The 21,105-nt window shown below is 37.8% G+C and overlaps 1 protein-coding gene across 2 annotated transcripts in view; it reads left to right on the forward strand.

The window, feature by feature from the left end:
- The window catches only part of MAOA (monoamine oxidase A), a 91,812-nt gene that overhangs the window by 7,241 nt on the left and 63,466 nt on the right, over positions 1 to 21,105 (forward strand). The gene's annotated exons all lie outside the window — the stretch shown is intronic.

The following is a 21,105-nucleotide window of genomic DNA, read 5'->3' on the forward strand; positions in this document are numbered from 1 at the left end:
TTCTCTGCCCCTAATTTATATTTTATTTTTCTAAAAAATAAACTAGGGTGTTTTTACTTCATAAACTTTTTAAATACTAAACAAAGAATACAAGAATTACATTTATTTGTGTTCTGATTTTTTTTTTTTGAAATCTTCATGGTTGAAGGAGCTTTTGGATTTATCTGGCATTAAATGGGAAATTTTAGCATTTAGTCAATACTAATTGATTTGAATTGTTACATAATCCTCAGCTATTGTGAAAAATGTATTTAACAATAGATCTAGGTATAGCATAATTGCATACATTACAGAGACCAATAATGGAGAAAAAGAAACATGGAACACCATTATTGGTGAATATTGGGTCACAATCTTTGTGCAGTTATGGCATAGAAATATTTTAACCTATGAAAAATCTTGCAGTATTTGCATTCAAGTGTACTCAGAAAGACTAAGGTTGTATTCTAGTTTTATATTACATATAGGGTGCCCAGCCCTGTGATTTAGAAAGTGTAGACACCCGATAAATAGTTGTTAAGGAATATACTTGTATGTAGGAGATGTATAGATTTCATAATGATAGGGTTTTTTTTTTCATTGTAATTAGAACTTCAAAAATTGAATCAAAACATTTTCTAAATGTTGTGAGCATTTGAGACAAATTGATTGTTGGGACTGTTTCTCCTCCTTTATCATGACAAATATTTTATATTTTTACCAGCAATTTGTATTTTCCTTCAAACAATCTATTTCTTGTTATGTTGCCATCTGTCATTGTGTATTAGGGAAATTTAAAGTCTTTGAACTATGGTTTTGTCATCCAAGAAGTTGGATTAAGTTATATGTGATATATCTTCTGGTATGGATTTTTAGTAATTAGTCAATTTCATGAAGATCCGTCTCTTTAGCTTTCTTTCTTGGACCCTCCTCAACGTTTTTTTCTTCTATGCTTTATTCTGGGAAGAGTTTGCATTATCTGTCATACTGACATTCTTCACAAACTTGAATCAGGGCCTGGGTCTCTCCACAGGTGCTCATTCACACTTTCCCCATGGCTTCTCTGAGACTTTGTTTAAAACCCTTTTCTAGTTGTTGCTAGGCAAAAGTAAACAAAGCACACTCAATAACAATATTTAATTGATTGACTAAGAGTGTTAAGAACATAAAAAACAGATGATAAGATTTAAGAGTTGAAGTAATTATATATTAACCATGTCCAAGGGTTATAGAATGGTGGCCTGTAAGAGCCCAAAGGGACTGAAACAGAGGCTCAGAGGGGTCCAGGGAATTACCAAATGCCACAAAATTCTTAGCTGTTTAACTTGTCCTTGGATGCGTAAAATACTGACTTCCAGGACAGTGCTCTTTCTGTACCTCACCTCACTGGACCTGCTTTGTCAGCTCATCCATAGATCTGCAGTAAACCTTATTATTGCTTTACTTTGAACGTTGATGCTCTAAAGCATAGTGACTACTGCTTAACAGTAATTTATATATTATAAGATATCACAAGGAATGTTATTGCTTTCTGAACATTTAAATTTAAAAATATGGGACACCCTATTAAATAAAATGACTTTCATATGACAAATCTATTTCCTTGTTGGAAAGGCCATTCCTGGTGCATTTAGGATATGTAGAGATTGTTGGGATAGTTTAGATCAGTGATTCTTGACCTTTTGGACCAAATGTCTCTTGGAAAATCTGATGAAAGCTATTGGACGTTTCACCAAAAAATGCGTATTTTTACGCATAGATGTTTTTCTCCTCTGCACCAGGCCAATGTTCTGGAAACCTCTTCTGCGTCACTGTCCTAATAGTGTAATTATTTTTAGCTGATACTGAGACTTCACGAAAGTGGTGAAAAATATTTCAGAGGATTCATTATATCATTAGACAGTTACTAGTAATGAATTTTTAAATAGACCATGATGAAGAGTCAAAACATTCAGGCTGGACACGAAGGCACCTACATTTGCTATATTAGCTCTATGATAACTAGAGAAGTGAAATTGACATGTTTTGAAAAGAAAGAATTTGGGAGAAAACATTGGTGAAGGAAATGGAAGGCTGTGGTGGTTGAGATTTCTTTTAGTAGTTTTCAAAGATTGTTTATTTAAAGTATCATTAGCCCATCGTCTATTCAGTGACTTGTGTGAGGCATAGAATCTGTGTAACCTCTGTGTCACAGGGGTTACAGAGATGAGCCTGAAATGCTCTTCAAAGTTGGTTCAGAGGTCCAATGTCAGCACAGAGGAGGGAGGAGTTAATTCCACCTGGAGGAAGTGACAAGGAAAGGATTTCATGGAGGAAGTCATACTCGACAGAAGTGTCATAGATTTTGGATAAATTCTGAAATGTAATGAAGATGACCTTTAAGGTGACCGTTTCCAGATTAAATGAGTTAGCTTGGAGCTGTGGCCTAAGTTGAAGACCATTTTCTTGCTTGTATGTATCTGTTCATTCATTCAGTAAATATTTGTCAATTGTGCATCACTGTATGCCTTGAGTAAAATTTGTGGGGTTTGCTCTCGCTTCTCTGCTTTGGGCATATTGCCTCAAAAATAAAATGCCTCTTCGAAAATCTGATGAAATCTGATTGCCTCAAAAATGAGGCAATATGAGTTGATATTTGACTATACTTTTTATTGCCCTTGGAGTGTTCAGTCCAAGAGTCCAAATGTGCAGTTATGTAAGAATTCTTTTGGCCAGAGACCACTTCACTGAATAATAGAGAATTAACAATGTATCATGCAGTGTACTCTGTGCAATTCCTAGGTGATGATGCATATCAAAGTTGAAGAAAGATGTCACTTTCGGGAATAAAGAGAAAGAACTAGGCAGGTATACACCATAGCTACACTAAAACCTTGCTCCAACATGCTCAGCTTGTGCTCTGGGCATTGTTCACCTAGGACCTTGCCTTTGGGAGTTTATTATGCTATTTGAACAATCAATCTTATGAGAGATTAAACAAGCTTTCCTAAAGTGTGTTTTCAGGTATACATTTTTTTAAAAAGCAGAGGGTGGATAAATGCTGAGTTAAATGGGTCTTTTTGCTGCAGGACTTCTCAGGACCATATGCCAGTGTGCACCAGGCATTTCCCAGAAGGAGAAACAGTATATGGTGTCTCAACTTCCATGAACATTGATACTTCTCCCCAGAGCATCTTTCTTGAGGACTCATGTTCCGTAAAACATTTAGGGAACTACAGCCCATCCTAGTGTGCAGAGTCCAAGGACAGCAATATGGAGTGTCCCTGGTGCATTTTAAGTTTCAATGAAAGATTGGGGCGAATAATGAATTAAGGGGTAATTGCATTCCCTAACTTGGGTGAGATCCTTTTATCTAAAGTGAAGATGAATGCGGAACAATAATCAAATAAATTAGGACTGTCTAGACAACCAGTCTGTTGAATTCAGGGCAAATTGAAGTTAATTGTTAGCTTTCATCTGTTTATTACTTGAGACAGCCCTATCTTTTTTAGCCTATCAAGGGGATTAGAAGATTTGGCCTTTCCTAAAGCAGAGAATTATGTATCTGAAAGGAAGTACAAAATACAGATAGGCATAGGTATAGATTAGATAGATAGATAGATAGATAGATAGATAGATAGATAGATAGATAGGAATGGTTTTATATATCAAGGGCAAGTTTGTGTGTATATTGATATTCTCTGTTGTCTTCTGCCAAAAAGCACAATGCTGGTTCAAAGATCAGAGAATGTGCTAGCAGTATTTAGAATCTGCTGACTTACTTAGGCGTAAAGGTTAAAATGACATGCCACCGTATCCTTGTCAATGTTTCTTAGTTGCTTGAGATAAATATATTCTAGGTAGCATTAGAAACTTCCCTGTTGCCCTCATCCACATAAGCATGATTTTGTTTTCTTAGTATGTGGTTCTTCTATTCATTGCAACAAGCATTTGGGCACTGCAACGTGCAGGCTCCATCCTAGGGATGCAAAGATTTGTAACACATTTCTGTTTTTTCATAACACACATATAGCTCATTTATGCATCTCAAGATTAATGCATCTAAAACAAGACACTTGATATTTCCCCATAACTCTTCTTCCCCTGGCTGTTTCCAACTTAATAAATGGTACCTCTATTTAACCAGTTGCTCAGGTTAAAAACCTTGAATCCATTCTTGGTTCCTCTCTTTTTGTCATACACCACATCCATTCCAGCAGCAAATCCTATTGGCTGTAGCCTCAAAATATGTTCTGTATCTCACGGCTTCCCACAACAACTGCAACCACAGTTATCCCCACCCAAGCCGTTGTGGTCTTTTGCCTTTGTCCAAGCCACCATGATCTCTTGGCCAGAGATCTGCCTCTTTACTAGTCTCTGTACTTCCTTCCTCTTTTGCCCCACTACAGTCTGCTTTCCTCACAGAAACCAGGATGATCTTTAAAAAAGTTAAAATAAGGTGAATCACTCCCCTACTCATAAGCCTCCAGTAGCCCCCATCATACTTAGACCAAAACCTAGAGTTTTGATGTGGTCTACAAGACACTCTGTCACTTAGTCTCTTCTTACTTTTCTAGTCTCATATTCTCCTCACTAATTTCCTTTTGGCTGTGCTAGCCTTACTGGTCTTTGAGCACATCGGCCTTTTTCCTATCTTCCCCATATACTTGCATGGCTCACTTCCTTACTTCATTAAGATCTCTGCTTTTGTTCTCACTCATAGGTGGGAATTGATCAATGAGAACACTTGGACACAGGAAGGGGAACATCACATACCAGGGTCTGTCATGGGGTGGGGGGCGGGGGGGATAGCATTAGGAGATATACCTAATGTAAATGACGAGTCAATGGGTGCAGCACACCAACCTGGTGCATGTATACATATGTAACAAACCTGCACATTGTGCACATGTACCCTAGAACTTAAAGTATATATATAAAAAAAGATCTCTGCTTTAATGTCACCTCTCAGATGCATTCACTGATGATCCTGTGTAAAAGCACTCCCCACTTCCATGGCTCACTCTCCCCTTACTCTGCTTTATTTATCTTCATAGCACTTAATATTTCCTTAATAGTTCCTAATCACTTAATCGTAATATTTATTCCTTTATTTGTCTCTCTTTCCCATAAAAGTGTAAGCTTCATGAGGACTTAGTTATATTCACCTGTATCACAGCACCTAGGATGATGCCCGGGACTCAGTAAGAGTGCAATATTATTTGATGGGTGAATAGATGAAGGAATGACTTTAGCTAGGTTTATGATACTTGTGAAGGGGTAAGTATATGTACTTGCAGAAAGATTCCATTGTTATCCATGCCTTAGATGCTTCTCATGAAGACAGCCCACATTTCATATATCTGTAGGCTGTATTTGAAACATTTTAAGGGGAAAAATAATTTGGGGTAGCAAAAAATTCTTAATGTTTGTGTGTACTAGTTTTCTCTTTGCAAACACAGTGATGTTCTACAGGAAACATATATATGCAGTACATTCAAGTGAGTGTATATTGAAAGATGACTCTTCATTCCACTTCAGCCCCAAGCACTATAACCCAAAAATAACTGCTATGATAGTTTATTGTGTATCCTTTCAGATATTTACTGTGCAAGTATGAAGTATATACATTTTTTGCTATTCTACAATGGGCCTATACTATATACAGGGAATCTCAACTTTGCTTATTTTACCTTATTTATTTCAAAGAACTTTCATACTTTTTAATAGTTGTATAGTATTTCAAAGAATGCCTCTACCACATCCTTGTATGTAGCTCTTGGAGCACATAGGTAAGTTTATATGTAAGAGAGCTTGCTAGGATTGTAATTGCTGGATCAAAGGGAGGTCCATTTACAGTTTTGATAGCTAATGACAACAAGGTTGAATCACTTTACTTTGCCACCAACAGTGTAAGACAGAATCTGTTTTTCTGCATCCATGTCAATACTATGTTTTAACTATTTTCATTCTTCAACCCAATAAGCCAAAATGGTACCTTATTTTTATATTTCTCCAGTTATGAGTGAGATTGAACAATTTTTCATTGAAAGGCATTTACATTTCTTCTGTAAAAGTTTATGTTCACATTTTTTTAACCTATTTTAAAAGCATGTCTGGTCATTTTTCCTTATTGACTTGTGAGAACTTTTTATATTTTGAAGAAATGAACTCTTTGTTGAATGTTGCAAATATTTTCTTTTTATGGCTTCTGGGTTTTGTGTCTTGCACAGAAAGCATTCTTTATTCCAAGAATATTACTTTAGAAAAATCTGCCTTACTTTATTCTAGTTTTTTAAGGTTTTTATGTTATGCATTTAAATCTTCTGAGTTTATTCTGAGTAAAGAGTTAGAGAGAGATTCTGCTTTACTTTTTAGATTTCCCCAAATCAGATGTCTCAACACAATTTATTGACTAAACCAGGATTTACCTACTGATTTGTATAATTTAGGCTATTTCTAGACCATATGCTCTTATTTCTCTGTCTCTCTAATCTTGTACCAGCACAACTCTTTCTACTGTAGCTTTGTCATACATTTTAATGAAAAGTTGAGCTAGTTATAATGCTTTTTCAGGAATTTCCTGGCAAGCTGGCCATGCTATTTTTCCATGTGAACTTTAGAATCAGGCTTTCTAATATAAAGAAAAAGTTACTAATATTTTAATTGAGATTTCATTACATTTGTAGATTTATTTGGAGGAATTAAGGTCTTTATAATACTATTTCCTTTTATCAAAAAATAAAAACTATTTTTCTGTTCAAATCTTCTATTGTGTCTTTTGGTGATTTTGAGGATATTTTTCAGGTTTATTTTTCAGAGCTCTTGTTGAGTTGATGTTGCTCTAAGAAGTGAGCTTATTTTTTTCCATCATATTCCAATTCATTGTACATAGGGTAGATATTTATCTTTTAATATTAATTTTGGCTGGGCATGGTTCTCACAGCTGTAATCCCAGCACTTTGGGAGACTGAGGCGGGCGGATCATGAGATCAGGAGTTCGAGACCAACCTGGCCAACATGGTAAAACCCCGTCTCTACTAAAAATACAAAAAAAAAAAAAAATACCCTGGCGTGGTGGTGTGCACCTGTAATCCCAGCTACTTGGGAGGCTGAGGCAAGAGAATTACTTAAACCCAGGGGGCAGAGATTGCAGTGAGCTGAGACCGTACCACTGCACTCCAGCCTGGGCAAAAGAGCAAGACTCCATCTCGAAAAAAATAATAATAATTTTTAAACTAGACACCTTATTCCTTGAATTTTCTTTTTGTTTTTCTTTCATTCATTTATTCATTCCTTCTCATCAATTTTCCAGGCTAAGTTTCCACTATCCATCCACTATGATAATTTTCTCTCTTCTCTAATTTTTATGCCTCGTTTCACCCTTATCTAATGGCATTGATTAGTACTTGCCCAATAATGTTAAATAAAATTGGTAATGGTGGAATTTCTACCTTGTTTCTGATTTTAATGCTACTGTTGTTTCACCATTAAGCATAGTGTTCAAGCCAATCACTCCAAAAGCTCTGGAAGCTCTCCTAAATCACTCCAGGCAAGCTGGCTTAAGGACCTCCATAGCACCTTTTTTTTACCTTTATTGTAATCTGGAACACAATGAACTTGAGAATGTGTTTATCTTACTGAACAATGTTGACAAATTCTGTGTACATCCTCAAAGAAGTACTTTTCCACAGATCGCCCTCTGGGAAACACAGATTTAGAGAAATACATGATCAACAATACCAACCATAGCATAAAGGAGTTTAAGGATTGAGACAAAACCATGAGGCTTAGAAAAAAGGAGGTCATCAGTGACCTTAAGGATAATGGTGATGATGATAGCTCATACTAATGGTATATTTACCAGGCATCAGTCACTTGGCTGAGTAATTATACATGTTACCTTGTTTAATCTTCACATTACCCACCAAGGCAGAACAATTATTATCTCTGTTTTATAGCTGTGGCAATAGGCTGAAGAAACTTTCTTAAGATTATCACACAGTAAATAATAAAATGTGATTTCAAATTGCACTAGCTCTATAGCAGGAGCTCTTCCACATAATACTAGGAGAATAAATCCAGAGCCTGCCCCAGGAATGTTTTGTTTGGCCAATTCATTATGGGATTTTTGTTTTGTTTTGTTTGTTTTTAAACTGTGAATGCCTTCAGTAGGCATACATACCATTGAATTTGTGAGTGTTTTTCAATTGCAGTCTCTGAAGTTTTATGTATTTAATTTTTATTTTATTATTATTATACTTTAAGTTTTAGGGTACATGTGCACAATGTGCAGGTTAGTTACATATGTATACATGTGCCATGCTGGTGTGCTGCACCCATTAACTCGTCATTTAGCATTAGGTATATCTCCTAATGCTATCCCTCCCCCCTCCCCCCACCCCACAACAGTCCCCAGAGTGTGTTGTTCCCCTTCCTGTGTCCATGTGTTCTCATTGTTCAATTCACACCTATGAGTGAGAACATGCGGTGTTTGGTTTTTTGTCCTTGCGATAGTTTACTGAGAATGATGATTTCCAATTTCATCCATGTCCCTACAAAGAACTCATCATTTTTTATGGCTGCATAGTATTCCATGGTGTATATGTGCCACATTTTCTTAATCCAGTCTATCATTGTTGGACATTTAGGTTGGTTCCAAGTCTTTGCTATTGTGAATAGTGCCACAATAAACATATGTGTGCATGTGTCTTTATAGCAGCATGATTTATAGTCCTTTGGGTATATACCCAGTAATGGGATGGCTGGGTCAAATGGTATTTCTAGTTCTAGATCCCTGAGGAATTGCCACACTGACTTCCACAAGGGTTGAACTAGTTTACAGTCCCACCAACAGTGTAAAAGTGTTCCTATTTCTCCACATCCTCTCCAGCACCTGTTGTTTCCTGACTTTTTAATGATTGCCATTCTAACTGGTGTGAGATGGTATCTCATTGTGGTTTTGATTTGCATTTCTCTGATGGCCAGTGATGGTGAGCATTTTTTCATGTGTTTTTTGGCTGCATAAATGTCTTCTTTTGAGAAGTGTCTGTTCATGTCCTTCACCCACTTTTTGATGGGGTTGTTTGTTTTTTTCTTGTAAATTTGTTTGAGTTCATTGTAGATTCTGGACATTAGCCCTTTGTCAGATGAGTAGGTTGCAAAAATTTTCTCCCATTCTGTAGGTTGCCTGTTCACTCTGACGGTAGTTTCTTTTGCTGTGCAGAAGCTCTTTAGTTTAATTAGATCCCATTTGTCAATTTTGGCTTTTGTTGCCACTGCTTTTGGTGTTTTAGACATGAAGTCCTTGTCCATGCCTATGTCCTGAATGGTAATGCCTAGGTTTTCTTCTAGGGTTTTTATGGTTTTAGGTCTAACGTTTAAGTCTTTAATCCATCTTGAATTAATTTTTGTATAAGGTGTAAGGAAGGGATCCAGTTTCAGCTTTCTACATATGGCTAGCCAGTTTTCCCAGCACCATTTATTAAATAGGGAATCCTTTCCCCATTGCTTGTTTTTGTCAGGTTTGTCAAAGATCAGATAGTTGTAGATATGCGGCATTATTTCTGAGGGCTCTGTTCTGTTCCATTGATCTATATCTCTGTTTTGGTACCAGTACCATGCTGTTTTGGTTACTGTAGCCTTGTAGTATAGTTTGAAGTCAGGTAGTGTGATGCCTCCAGCTTTGTTCTTTTGGCTTAGGATTGACTTGGCGATGCAGGCTCTTTTTTGGTTCCATATGAAGTTTAAAGTAGTTTTTTCCAATTATGTGAAGAAAGTCATTGGTAGCTTGATGGGGATGCCATTGAATCTATAAATTACCTTGGGCAGTATGGCCGGTTTCACAATATTGATTCTTCCTACCCATGAGCATGGGATGTTCTTCCATTTCTTTGTATCCTCTTTTATTTCATTGAGCAGTGGTTTGTAGTACTCCTTGAAGAGGTCCTTCACATCCCTTGTAAGTTGGATTCATAGGTATTTTATTCTCTTTGAAGCAATTGTGAATGGGAGTTCACTCGTGATTTGGCTCTCTGTTTGTCTGTTATTGGTATATAAGAATGCTTGTGATTTTTGTACATTGATTTTGTATCCTGAGACTTTGCTGAAGTTGCTTATCAGCTTAAGGAGATTTTGGGCTGAGACAATGGGGTTTTCTAGATATACAATCATGTCGTCTGCAAACAGGGACAATTTGACTTCCTCTTTTCCTAATTGAATACCCTTTATTTCCTTCTCCTGACTAATTGCCCTGGCCAGAAATTCCAACACTATGTTGAATAGGAGTGGTGAGAGAGGGCATCCCTGTCTTGTGCCAGTTTTCAAAGGGAATGCTTCCAGTTTTTGCCCATTCAGTATGATATTGGCTGTGGATTTGTCATAGATAGCTCTTATTATTTCGAGATACGTCCCATCAATACCTAATTTATTGAGAGTTTTTAGCATGAAGTGTTCTTGAATTTTGTCAAAGGCCTTTTCTGCATCTATTGAGATAATCATGTGGTTTTTGTCTTTGGTTCTGTTTATATGCTGGATTACATTTATTGATTTGAGTATATTGAACCAGCCTTGCATCCCAGGGATGAAGCCCACTTGATCATGGTGGATAAGCTTTTTGATGTGCTGCTGGATTCGGTTTGCCAGTATTGAGGATTTTTGCATCAATGTTCATCAAGGATATTGGTCTAAAATTCTCTTTTTTGGTTGTGTCTCTGCCCGGCTTTGATATCAGGATGATACGGGCCTCATAAAATGAGTTAGGGAGGATTCTCTCTTTTTCTATTGATTGGAATAGTTTCAGAAGGAATGGTACCAGTTCCTCCTTGTACCTCTGGTAGAATTTGGCTGTGAATCCATCTGGTCCTGGACTCTTTTTGGTTGGTAAGCTATTGATTATTGCCACAATTTCAGATCCTGTTATTGGTCTATTCAGAGATTCAACTTCTTCCTGGTTTAGTCTTGGGAGGGTGTATGTGTCAAGGAATTTATCCATTTCTTCTAGATTTTCTAATTTATTTGCATAGAGGTGTTTGTAGTATTCTCTGATGGTAGTTTGTATTTCTGTGGGATCAGTGGTGATATCCCCTTTATCATCTTTTATTGCATCTATTTGATTCTTCTCTCTTTTTTTCTTTATTAGCCTTGCTAGCGGTCTGTCAATTTTGTTGATCCTTTCAAAAAACCAGCTCCTGGATTCGTTAATTTTTTGAAGGGTTTTTTTTTTTGTTGTCTCTATTTCCTTCCGTTCTGCTCTGATTTTAGTTATTTCTTGCCTTCTGCTAGCTTTTGAATGTGTTTGCTCTTGCTTTTCTAGTTCTTTTAATTGTGATGTTAGGGTGTCAATTTTGGATCTTTCCTGCTTTCTCTTGTGGGCATTTAGTGCTATAAATTTCCCTCTACACACTGCTTTGAATGTGTCCCAGAGATTCTGGTATGTTGTGTCTTTGTTCTTGTTGGTTTCAAAGAACATCTTTATTTCTGCCTTCATTTTGTTATGTACCCAGTAGTCATTCAGGAGCAGGTTGTTCAGTTTCCATGTACTTGAGTGGTTTTGAGTGAATTTCTTAATCCTGAGTTCTAGTTTGAATGCACTGTGGTCTCAGAGACAGTTTGTTATAATTTCTATTCTTTTACATTTGCTGAGGAGAGCTTTACTTCCAACTATGTGGTCAATTTTGGAATAGGTGTGGTGTGGTGCTGAAAAGAATGTATATTCTGTTGATTTGGGGTGGAGAGTTCTGTAGATGTCTATTAGGTCCACTTGGTGCAGAGCTGAGTTCAATTCCTGGATATCCTTGTTAACTTTCTGTCTTGTTGATCTGTCTAATGTTGACAGTGGGGTGTTAAAGTCTCCCATTATTATTGTGTGGGAGTCTAAGTCTCTTTGTAGGTCACTCAGGACTTGCTTTATGAATCTGGGTGCTCCTGTATTGGGTGCATATATATTTAGGATAGATAGCTCTTCTTGTTGAATTGATCCCTTTACCATTATGTAATGGCCTTCTTTGTCTCTTTTGATCTTTGTTGGTTTAAAGTCTGTTTTATCAGAGACTAGGATTGCAACCCCTGCCTTTTTTTGTTTTCTATTTGCTTGGTAGATCTTCCTCCATCCTTTTATTTTGAGCCTATGTGTGTCTCTGCACGTGAGATGGGTTTACTGAATACAGCACACTGATGGGTCTTGACTCTTTATCCAATTTGCCAGTCTGTGTCTTTGAATTGGAGCATTTAGTCCATTTACATTTAAAGTTAATATTGTTATGTGTGAATTTGATCCTGTCATTATGATGTTAGCTGGTTATTTTGCTCGTTAGTTGATGCAGTTTCTTCCTAGTCTCAATGGTCTTTACATTTTGGCATGATTTTGCAGCAGCTGGTACCGGTTGTTCCTTTCCATGTTTAGTGCTTCCTTCAGGAGCTCTTTTAGGGCAGGCCTGGTGGTGACAAAATCTCTCAGCATTTGATTGTTTGTAAAGTATTTTATTTCTCCTTCACTTATGAAGCTTAGTTTGGCTGGATATGAAATTCTGGGTTGAAAATTCTTTTCTTTAAGAATGTTGAATATTGGCCCCCACTCTCTTCTGGCTTGTAGAGTTTCTGCCGAGAGATCCGCTGTTAGTCTGATGGGCTTCCCTTTGTGGGTAACCCGACCTTTCTCTCTGGCTGCCCTTAACATTTTTTCCTTCATTTCAACTTTGGTGAATCTGACAATTATGTGTCTTGGAGTTGCTCTTCTTGAGGAGTATCTTTGTGGTGTTCTCTGTATTTCCTGAATCTGAATGTTGGCCTGCCTTGCTAGATTGGGGAAGTTCTCCTGGATAATATCCTGCAGAGTGTTTTCCAACTTGGTTCCATTCTCCCCGTCACTTTCAGGTACACCAATCAGATTTGGTCTCTTCACATAGTCCCATATTTCTTGGAGGCTTTGTTCGTTTCTTTTTATGCTTTTTTCTCTAAACTTCCCTTCTCGCTTCATTTCATTCATTTCATCTTCCATCACTGATACCCTTTCTTCCAGCTGATCGCATCGGCTCCTGAGGCTTCTGCATTCTTCACGTAGTTCTCGAGCCTTGGCTTTCAGCTCCATCAGCTCCTTTAAGCACTTCTCTGTATTGGTTATTCTAGTTATACATTTGTCTAAATTTTTTTCAAAGTTTTTAACTTCTTTGCCTTTGGTTTGAATTTCCTCCTGTAGCTCGGAGTAGTTTGATCGTCCGAAGCCTTCTTCGCTCAACTCGTCAAAGTCATTCTCTGTCCAGCTTTGTTCCGTTGCTGGTGAGGAACTGCGTTCCTTTGGAGGAGGAGAGGCACTCTGCTTTTTAGAGTTTCCAGTTTTTCTGTTCTGTTATTTCCCCATCTTTGTGGTTTTATCTACTTTTGGTCTTTGATGATGGTGATGTACATATGGGTTTTTGGTGTGGATGTCCTTTCTGTTTGTTAGTTTCCCTTCTAACAGACAGGACCCTCAGCTGCAGGTCTGTTGGAGTTTGCTAGAGGTCCACTCCAGACCCTGTTTGCCTGGGTATCAGCAGCAGTGGCTGCAGAACAGCGGATTTTCGTGAACCACGAATGCTGCTGTCTGATCGTTCCTCTGGAAGTTTTGTCTCAGAGGAGTACCCGGCCTTGTGAGGTGTCAGTCTGCCTCTACTGGGGGGTGCCTCCCAGTTAGGCTGCTCGGGGGTCAGGGGTCAGGGACCCACTTTAGGAGGCAGTCTGCCCATTCTCAGATCTCCAGCTGTGTGCTGGGAGAACCCCTACTCTCTTCAAAACTGTCAGACAGGGACATTTAAGTCTGCAGAGGTTACTGCTGTCTTTTTGTTTGTCTGTGCCCTGCCCCCAGAGTTGGAGCCTACAGAGGCAGGCAGGCCTCCTTGAGCTGTGGTGGGCTCCACCCAGTTCAAGCTTCCCGGCTGCTTTGTTTACCTAAGCAAGCCTGGGCAATGGCGGGTGCCCCTCCCCCAACCTCACTGCCACCTTGCAGTTTGATCTCAGACTGCTGTGCTAGCAATCAGCAAGACGCCATGGGCGTAGGACCCTCTGAGCCAGGTGCGGGATTTAATCTCCTGGTGTGCCGTTTTTTAAGCCCGTCAGAAAAGCGCAGTATTAGGGTGGGAGTGACCCGATTTTCCAGGTGCCGTCTGTCACCCCTTTCTTTGACTAGGAAAGGGAACTCCCTGACCCCTTGCACTTCCCGAGTAAGGCAATGCTTCACCCTACTTTGGCTCGCGCACGGTGCACCGCACCCACTGTCCTGCGCCCACTGTCTGGCACTCCCTAGTGAGATGAACCCAGTACATCAGATGGAAATGCAGAAATCACCCGTCTTCTGCATCGCTCATGCTGGGAGCTGTAGACCAGAGCTGTTCCTATTCGGCCATCTTGGCTGCCCTCCAGTCTCTGAAGTTTTATAAACTCTATTCATTCATTAATAAATTATTTCAACAAATATTTCCTGAGTGTCCACTGCATGCCAGGTACTATGCTAGGCTCTGGAGATACAGCAATAAGCAAAAATGAGCAAAGACCCTATTTTCGTGTAGGCTTAATTAAATAACATACAAAAAATGTGTGTGTGTGTGTGTGTGTGTGTGTGTAGTGCCAGGTAGTAATGTGTACTAAGAAGAAAAATAAATTCAGGGTAGCAGGGACAGAGTGTGACAGATGACTATATTGATTGTCTGCATTGATGGTGGGGTCACTGGGCATTTTTTATGAGGAGTACACTACATTTCCAGGTTTATTCAAGTTAGGAAATGGAGACATCTGATCATGTGTTGTAGAAAGAAAATCAGAAATCACATAGGAGCTGAAAAGGGTGGCATGAGTCTAATTGAGGAATTTCTTACTTTTCTGTGATAGAATAATGTGAATATTCTTGAAGAAATAAGGTAAAGCAAATGGCCCTGGGAGAGGTGGAGAAGGCAGGGCTAAGTGTGGAAGCTAGGTTCCAAAGTGACAGTATGCCTGAGATTTATGCCCTGGGAAGCAAAGGGATTATTTCCTCAAAAGCTTCATTGCACAAATTAACTCCCAAGGTATGCTATGTGGATAAAATCATCTCCTATACCAGTTCTCTGGGGACAGCAACCATTTTGGGTTGTTGGAAGCATTGCAGAATTGGTGGTAACACAGTTTCTATGGGCAGTTGCTTTAAGAACCTGAAGCTTGTTTTGAGGTTGCCATGGTAACACCACTGCTGGCTGCATACAACATCTCACCCAGGCTCTCTTGATCTAATAACCAGGACCCACATTGCCTTGAACTCCCTTAAACAAAGTGTGCTTTTAGCAGACTAGCTTTTTTTTTTTAACCTCTCTGATAAATCCATCAACCTATTTTATTTTGGTTTCTGTAAATTGCAAATTACTGAGGAGAGAGAAATTAGGAGAGGAATTGTATTGTTTTAAACTCATCATCCCGATTTAGAATACTTAATGCAAACTAATTAAAGATCTGCTTGTGCTATGATCTGCTATTTTCCTGTTTTCAAGTTTTTGCATTTTGAAATCTATCATATCTCCTTGTTCACACAATAAGGCCTTAACAAACTCTTTGTGAATGTAGTTTCTCTGACCTCTCTACTCTCATAGAAAACCACAGGATACTCAGGAGTCTTGGGCTCTTTTCTTCCTAATGAGCTCTGTTTGCCATGGTTTAGGAGAGGAAGAACTCTGAGTATAGGGGATGATAGATTTTGCTAGTGTTCACTTAGACCTCTTCTCTCAAAAACATGGGTGAGAGAATCACAAATTTTTGACACTAGGATACTTGACAGTTTGGCCCAGTGGTCTTTTACCAAGATGGCTCCACATCTCCTACATCCCAATGATGATCATAAACACTTGCTGATTTAATAGACAATAATGTTAGTAGCCTGAAATCACACTAGTAGTTTGAAACCCATGATGAGGGTACAGATACACCATGGAAATCTAAATGCTGTGAAACAGTCCCCGCTTCCCACTGCTGGGCTGGTTGTTAATCATTTACTGGCATACCTGTATCAAACCCTTCCCTTATCATGCGGGTGGGGAGTGGTGAGAAACAGGCTTCTTATCACTAGATTCTATGTGGCCATTAAATGATGGAAAATAAAAGAAAGGGAGAGCTGTAATGCATAATGCTCTTCATTTTTGTTTAGTAATTTATATTACTTTGGAACAAGATGAAATAAAAGATTTAAGATGAGATTTTTCTCTTTGCATAATAAAATGTGAAAAAATATTTGATTACAAAAGCTATCTTTATAGTAGCCACATTTTATTTGGTGACTTGCCTTCAGACTTAAGAATCTTTTCTAACAATTTTATCCCATTTACAAAAAAATGCTCAATAAATATTTCGAAAGATTAGGTCAAAAGCCCTTAAACTAATCTGTAGGGTTGACAATTAAGATATCATTTTTTTTCTATAACTGATCATTGAATTTTGTAGTGATGAGGGAAGGGTAGAATGCATAGTGAGTGACACACAAGTACAAAAAAGAGTTGGTTATAATCCAAGACTTACATCTTAAAGTAGGAATAATTTTTAGGTTTTGCCATTCAAATCAGCAGATAGCCACAGTTATTACATTACAAAAGATTTCTGAGCTCCAAGTGTTTGCCTGTACTTTGACTTACTAAGCATTCAAAAATATTTTCCTAACAGCATCATACTTTTATTTTCATGTTGTATATATTTTAACCTTTAAGTTATCGTGGAAATTCCTTAACAGGGTCTTCTTCCCAGTAAACATGCAAACTGAAACATTAGCACCCATTTATTCAGCATCTTAGAAGAAATATGCTTAATATAGTAGATTTTCCTAAATAACTTAAACCTTAACCCTTCAAATTCTAAGACCTTTTAGAAACCATTTATCTGAAATCCTTTTTAAATATTTTAAACATATTTCTTATTTCTTAAACTAAGAATTTAAACTCTCCTTGCTGTGATAGGGCAATCGTTTTTCTGCAATGTAGAAACAACTACTTTCACCAGCTTTTAAATTTTATTTAGTTATATCCTTAAATGCCAAACTGCAAAATGACCTTTGTCACTGGTGTGGTCATTGTATTGGCTCAGAAGCCCTGCTCCCCCCTCCCCTTTTAGTTTCCTGAGTAGTGTTTATTTATTATTGGCACTGAAATCCATTCATAAAACTTGTTTAGAGTTACATACTAGATTCGATTTTATTAAGACTCTAAGTGAGGGTGTGAGAAGGAAAATCCTTCGCTTTTCAGAAGACTTTGTTGTGGTCATATCAGGCACTTGGAATATGGAGATAATGAAATCTACTCCAAGGGATGGTTGTGAGAGGCAACAAGGAAAGGCATATGAAATGAATCTATAGGATGCTACTGAGAGGTCCCTTTATGCACACAACTGCTACAGGCCCCACCACTGTTGTTCAAAGTTCCCCACCGCTCCATCCCCTTAGGCAGTGTGGGGAGAGCCAGTTTCCCCTCCTTACAAGAGGAGCTGCCAGAGCAATTCCAGTAGACCCTTGGGTATATTTATCTACCTAACTGGTTTTTAGTTAGGTTGATGAAAGGGAATGAGAAGAGATAAAACTTTTGCATCTGAGTTTCTCTGTTTTTAAATATGGAGTATTACTTTGAGCCTAAAAATGCTCATCACTTTCGACTTAGTAATCTCCCTTCTAGAACTTAACCCTAAAGAAATAATCAGACATAAGGAGAAAGATTTATGCATAAACATATTTTTCATCTCACTTTCATCCCATTTTTACATTAGTCAGCACAAACTTTGGCTGTGTTCCAGAAAACATATTGCGCCAAGACTGGCAGACATTGGTTTGAGTTTATTTAACTGTCAGGGGATGGCTTTTCTTTGTGAGCTGATTCCACAAATTCATTACATACTTAAATCTTTTATGGGCATCAGCAATGTAAGAGTAGTGTACTTGAAGGGCTCAAAATTGCACACAAACATTAGCAGATAGCAGTGCTGGATATTATGGTTTAGACTTAATATCTTTTAAGATATTTTAGATCTTGTAGACCCAAACTCATCCTTGATTTGGCTATGTGTATTCTATGACATTCTGTATATGAGTAAAATACTGGGTTCTGTGAGAGCAGGCATCAAGATAGAACTAGCTGTTTAAAAGATTTATTGTGGGAAAAGCCCGTGAAGGATAAAGGGGAAGGAGAGCATGAGTAGGGAATAAAAAAACAAAAAATAGGGTAGTCCTGTATAATTTCTTACAATTTGGATTTTGTTCATTTCATCCCAGTAGTATTATTTAACATGTTCCTCTGTCCCCTAAGTATCAGATACAGAGGGCTGATCACATTAGAATTTAATTTGTTCCTTCCTTCCTTCTCCCCTCTCCTCCCCTCCATCCCCTCCCATTCCCTCTCCTTTCTTCATTCTTGGAAAACTACTTCATAGGTGATGGTGTGTGCTTCCATCAAGAGTCAGATAACATTTGTCTCATCTGTTTTTCTGTGTGTGTTAGCAGCTTGATTATCATTATGCTAGATCCATTAATTCATTAGGGGTTGCAAAATGCTGACATTTGAATTATTTCTGTCTTCACTTACTAACTAGCATACTTTTATACAGAGAAACTTCCCCTCATTAGCTATTTGGTTGTTTTGAGGTTCAGCGCAAATAGGAAACATAGGATGAATACTAGATTTTTTCTTTTGCTTACCATTTTTCAAAATGGTAAGTTGATTCCTTAGCATTTTCCAAAGGTGGAAAATGAGAGTTTTTGTGTTTGTTTAGTATTATTATGAACTCATGGATTTAAGCCATTGTAGTTGTTATCTTTATTTGACACTCAAATTATTTCATCTTTGGCCAGTAGGAGTTTATATAGGTAGGCTCCTAAGTCTTTTTGACAGAATCCTAGTAGTCTCTGACAGCCTTCTTGCTTTCTGGTATGATTTAGTGTTCAGGCTCATCTTGTACATTTCCTGCCTCAGGTCTCACTAGGTCACAAGCCATAGTTCATTGTAGTGAGAATTGATTTTTTAGAAACAACACTGTAAGTGTTGGGAGTGTTCATTGCTACTGGGTAGGTTATTTTTTCTAGACCTTTTCATTGTACAAAACTAAGAAATATTTTTTTTTAAAGTTAGAGTATATCCAGAGATCATACTTATAATTCCAATTTATATCTAGGACTACAGGGTTACTACTTCATCTCATCATTTTTTACATCTGAATTTCTTTATCTCCATGCTAAAAAACCTGCTTCTCAGCAACTCAAGCCTGATTACTCACTTGTTTTATCACATACTACAAATGTAACAGCCTTGGGATAACAATGCTAATACTAGGACTAGCTAAATTGTTATTGAAAAAAAATGTGAAGTTCTTTTTTATCTTTAGGATATATACCATTAGAAATGAACTATCAAATCCGTGTATTTTAAAATCAGTTAGAATAGTTCTCCTCCTCAACCACTTGTATACATATTTAGGTATAATTTGTATCACTTTACTAATCTTGTCTCTGGTGCCATTCTTATTTCCCTCTACCCTAATATAACTAGCATTTTCTCCCTGTATTATGTTTATCTCTGTAATAATGAGAAGTCTATGAGAAGTATAATGAGAAGTATAAAGTTAACTAGGAACTAAGACAGAATTTGAAGTACAAAAATGAATGTGGATTTAAAAATAAATGTATGCACAATAGCACTATATATATATATATATTTTTTTTTTTTTTTCTTTGAGACGGAGTCTTGCTCTGTTGCCCAGGCTGGAGTGCAGTGGCACGATCTCGGCTCACTGCAAGCTCCGCCTCCCGGGTTCAAGCAATTCTCCTGCCTCAGCCTCCCGAGTAGCTGGGACTACAGGTGCCCACCACCATGCCCAGCTAATTTTTTGTATTTTTAGTAGAGATGGGGTTTCACCATTTTAGCCAGGATGGTCTCGATCTCTTGACCTCGTGATCCACCTGCCTTGGCCTCCCAAAGTGCTGGGATTACAGGCGTGAGCCACCGTGCCTGGCCTATATTTCTTTGTGAGCTGAGAGGTCTTAGAAGCAATGACACCCCAGTAGCAATGAGCACACCTAGAACCCAGATCTTGGTTTCTAATACTGTTCTCCAGTAAAAGGGACCAAAGCTCAATGAAGAAATGCCTGATTCTAAGGCTGTGGCAGAGAAAGATAAGATGAGTCGGGAGCATTGTGTAGTACTAGAAAGGAAGGAAGTGTTTAAACACACACACAAAATGATAGGGGCATGTCAAAGGGGCATAGGAGCCAACTAACAGAACTCCTAATAACCATAGCTGGAAGAATTTGAGCAACGAAATAAATGACATAGTGTTGGATTATAATCCAAAGTATAAAACAAATATCTGCGAGTCCATATTGATATATTAATAAGTAAATGATTGAAAAAGTCAGTAAGTGAGGAGAAGAGACACATCTCCAGTGCAGAATTCCAAATAATTTATATGGATACTCTACCCTCAAAAAGCTGGAACATACTTCCCACTCCTTAAGTGTAGGCTATGCATAGCCTTTTACAGTATGTTAAGATGGGAAAAAGAATAACTATAGTGGAAAAACTTGACAAACACCACCTCAGCCAGGTGATCAGATCAAGGTCAACATCAGTGATAAATCATGCTTGTAGCATGCACCCTTGATATAATGTTAATCTGCAATACTTCCTTAATTTTTCTGGTATTACTATGTTGGGTTTAAAAAATATTTTATCTATCCTGAAGGCTTTTAATTACAGGTGGAAACCTGTTCTCAGCTTTGTTTGAGCTAGTGAAAAAAGTATGAAGCATGGTTTCTACCTTATGGTAACTTAGAAACTAGTGAAGGAAACAAGATCTAGCAAGCATGTAATCAAAATATAAATCATAGGACATGATTATACAGGATTTTTAAGTTGAGAAAAGCAAAGCATAGCTATACTGAGACCTGGTGTAGCTAGAGGAAGTTTTAAAGAAAATAGTCTCTTCTGTTAATACTATCAGGATTTCTGTATGAGGGAAATGATAGGGATTGATTTAGAGGCTCAAAAATTCTCTAAATATATGATTATCACCAGAAAACAAGATATATATATTTTAAGACCATTACATTTTGTTTCTGTTGACCAACTGAAATGCAAGATGACTAAATTAGTTATTTTTGAATCCCTTATGACAGATAATAAAAAT

The sequence above is a fragment of the Homo sapiens genome, chromosome X (genome assembly GCF_000001405.40).
Source record: "Homo sapiens chromosome X, GRCh38.p14 Primary Assembly".
Classification (NCBI taxonomy): Eukaryota; Metazoa; Chordata; class Mammalia; order Primates; family Hominidae; genus Homo; species Homo sapiens.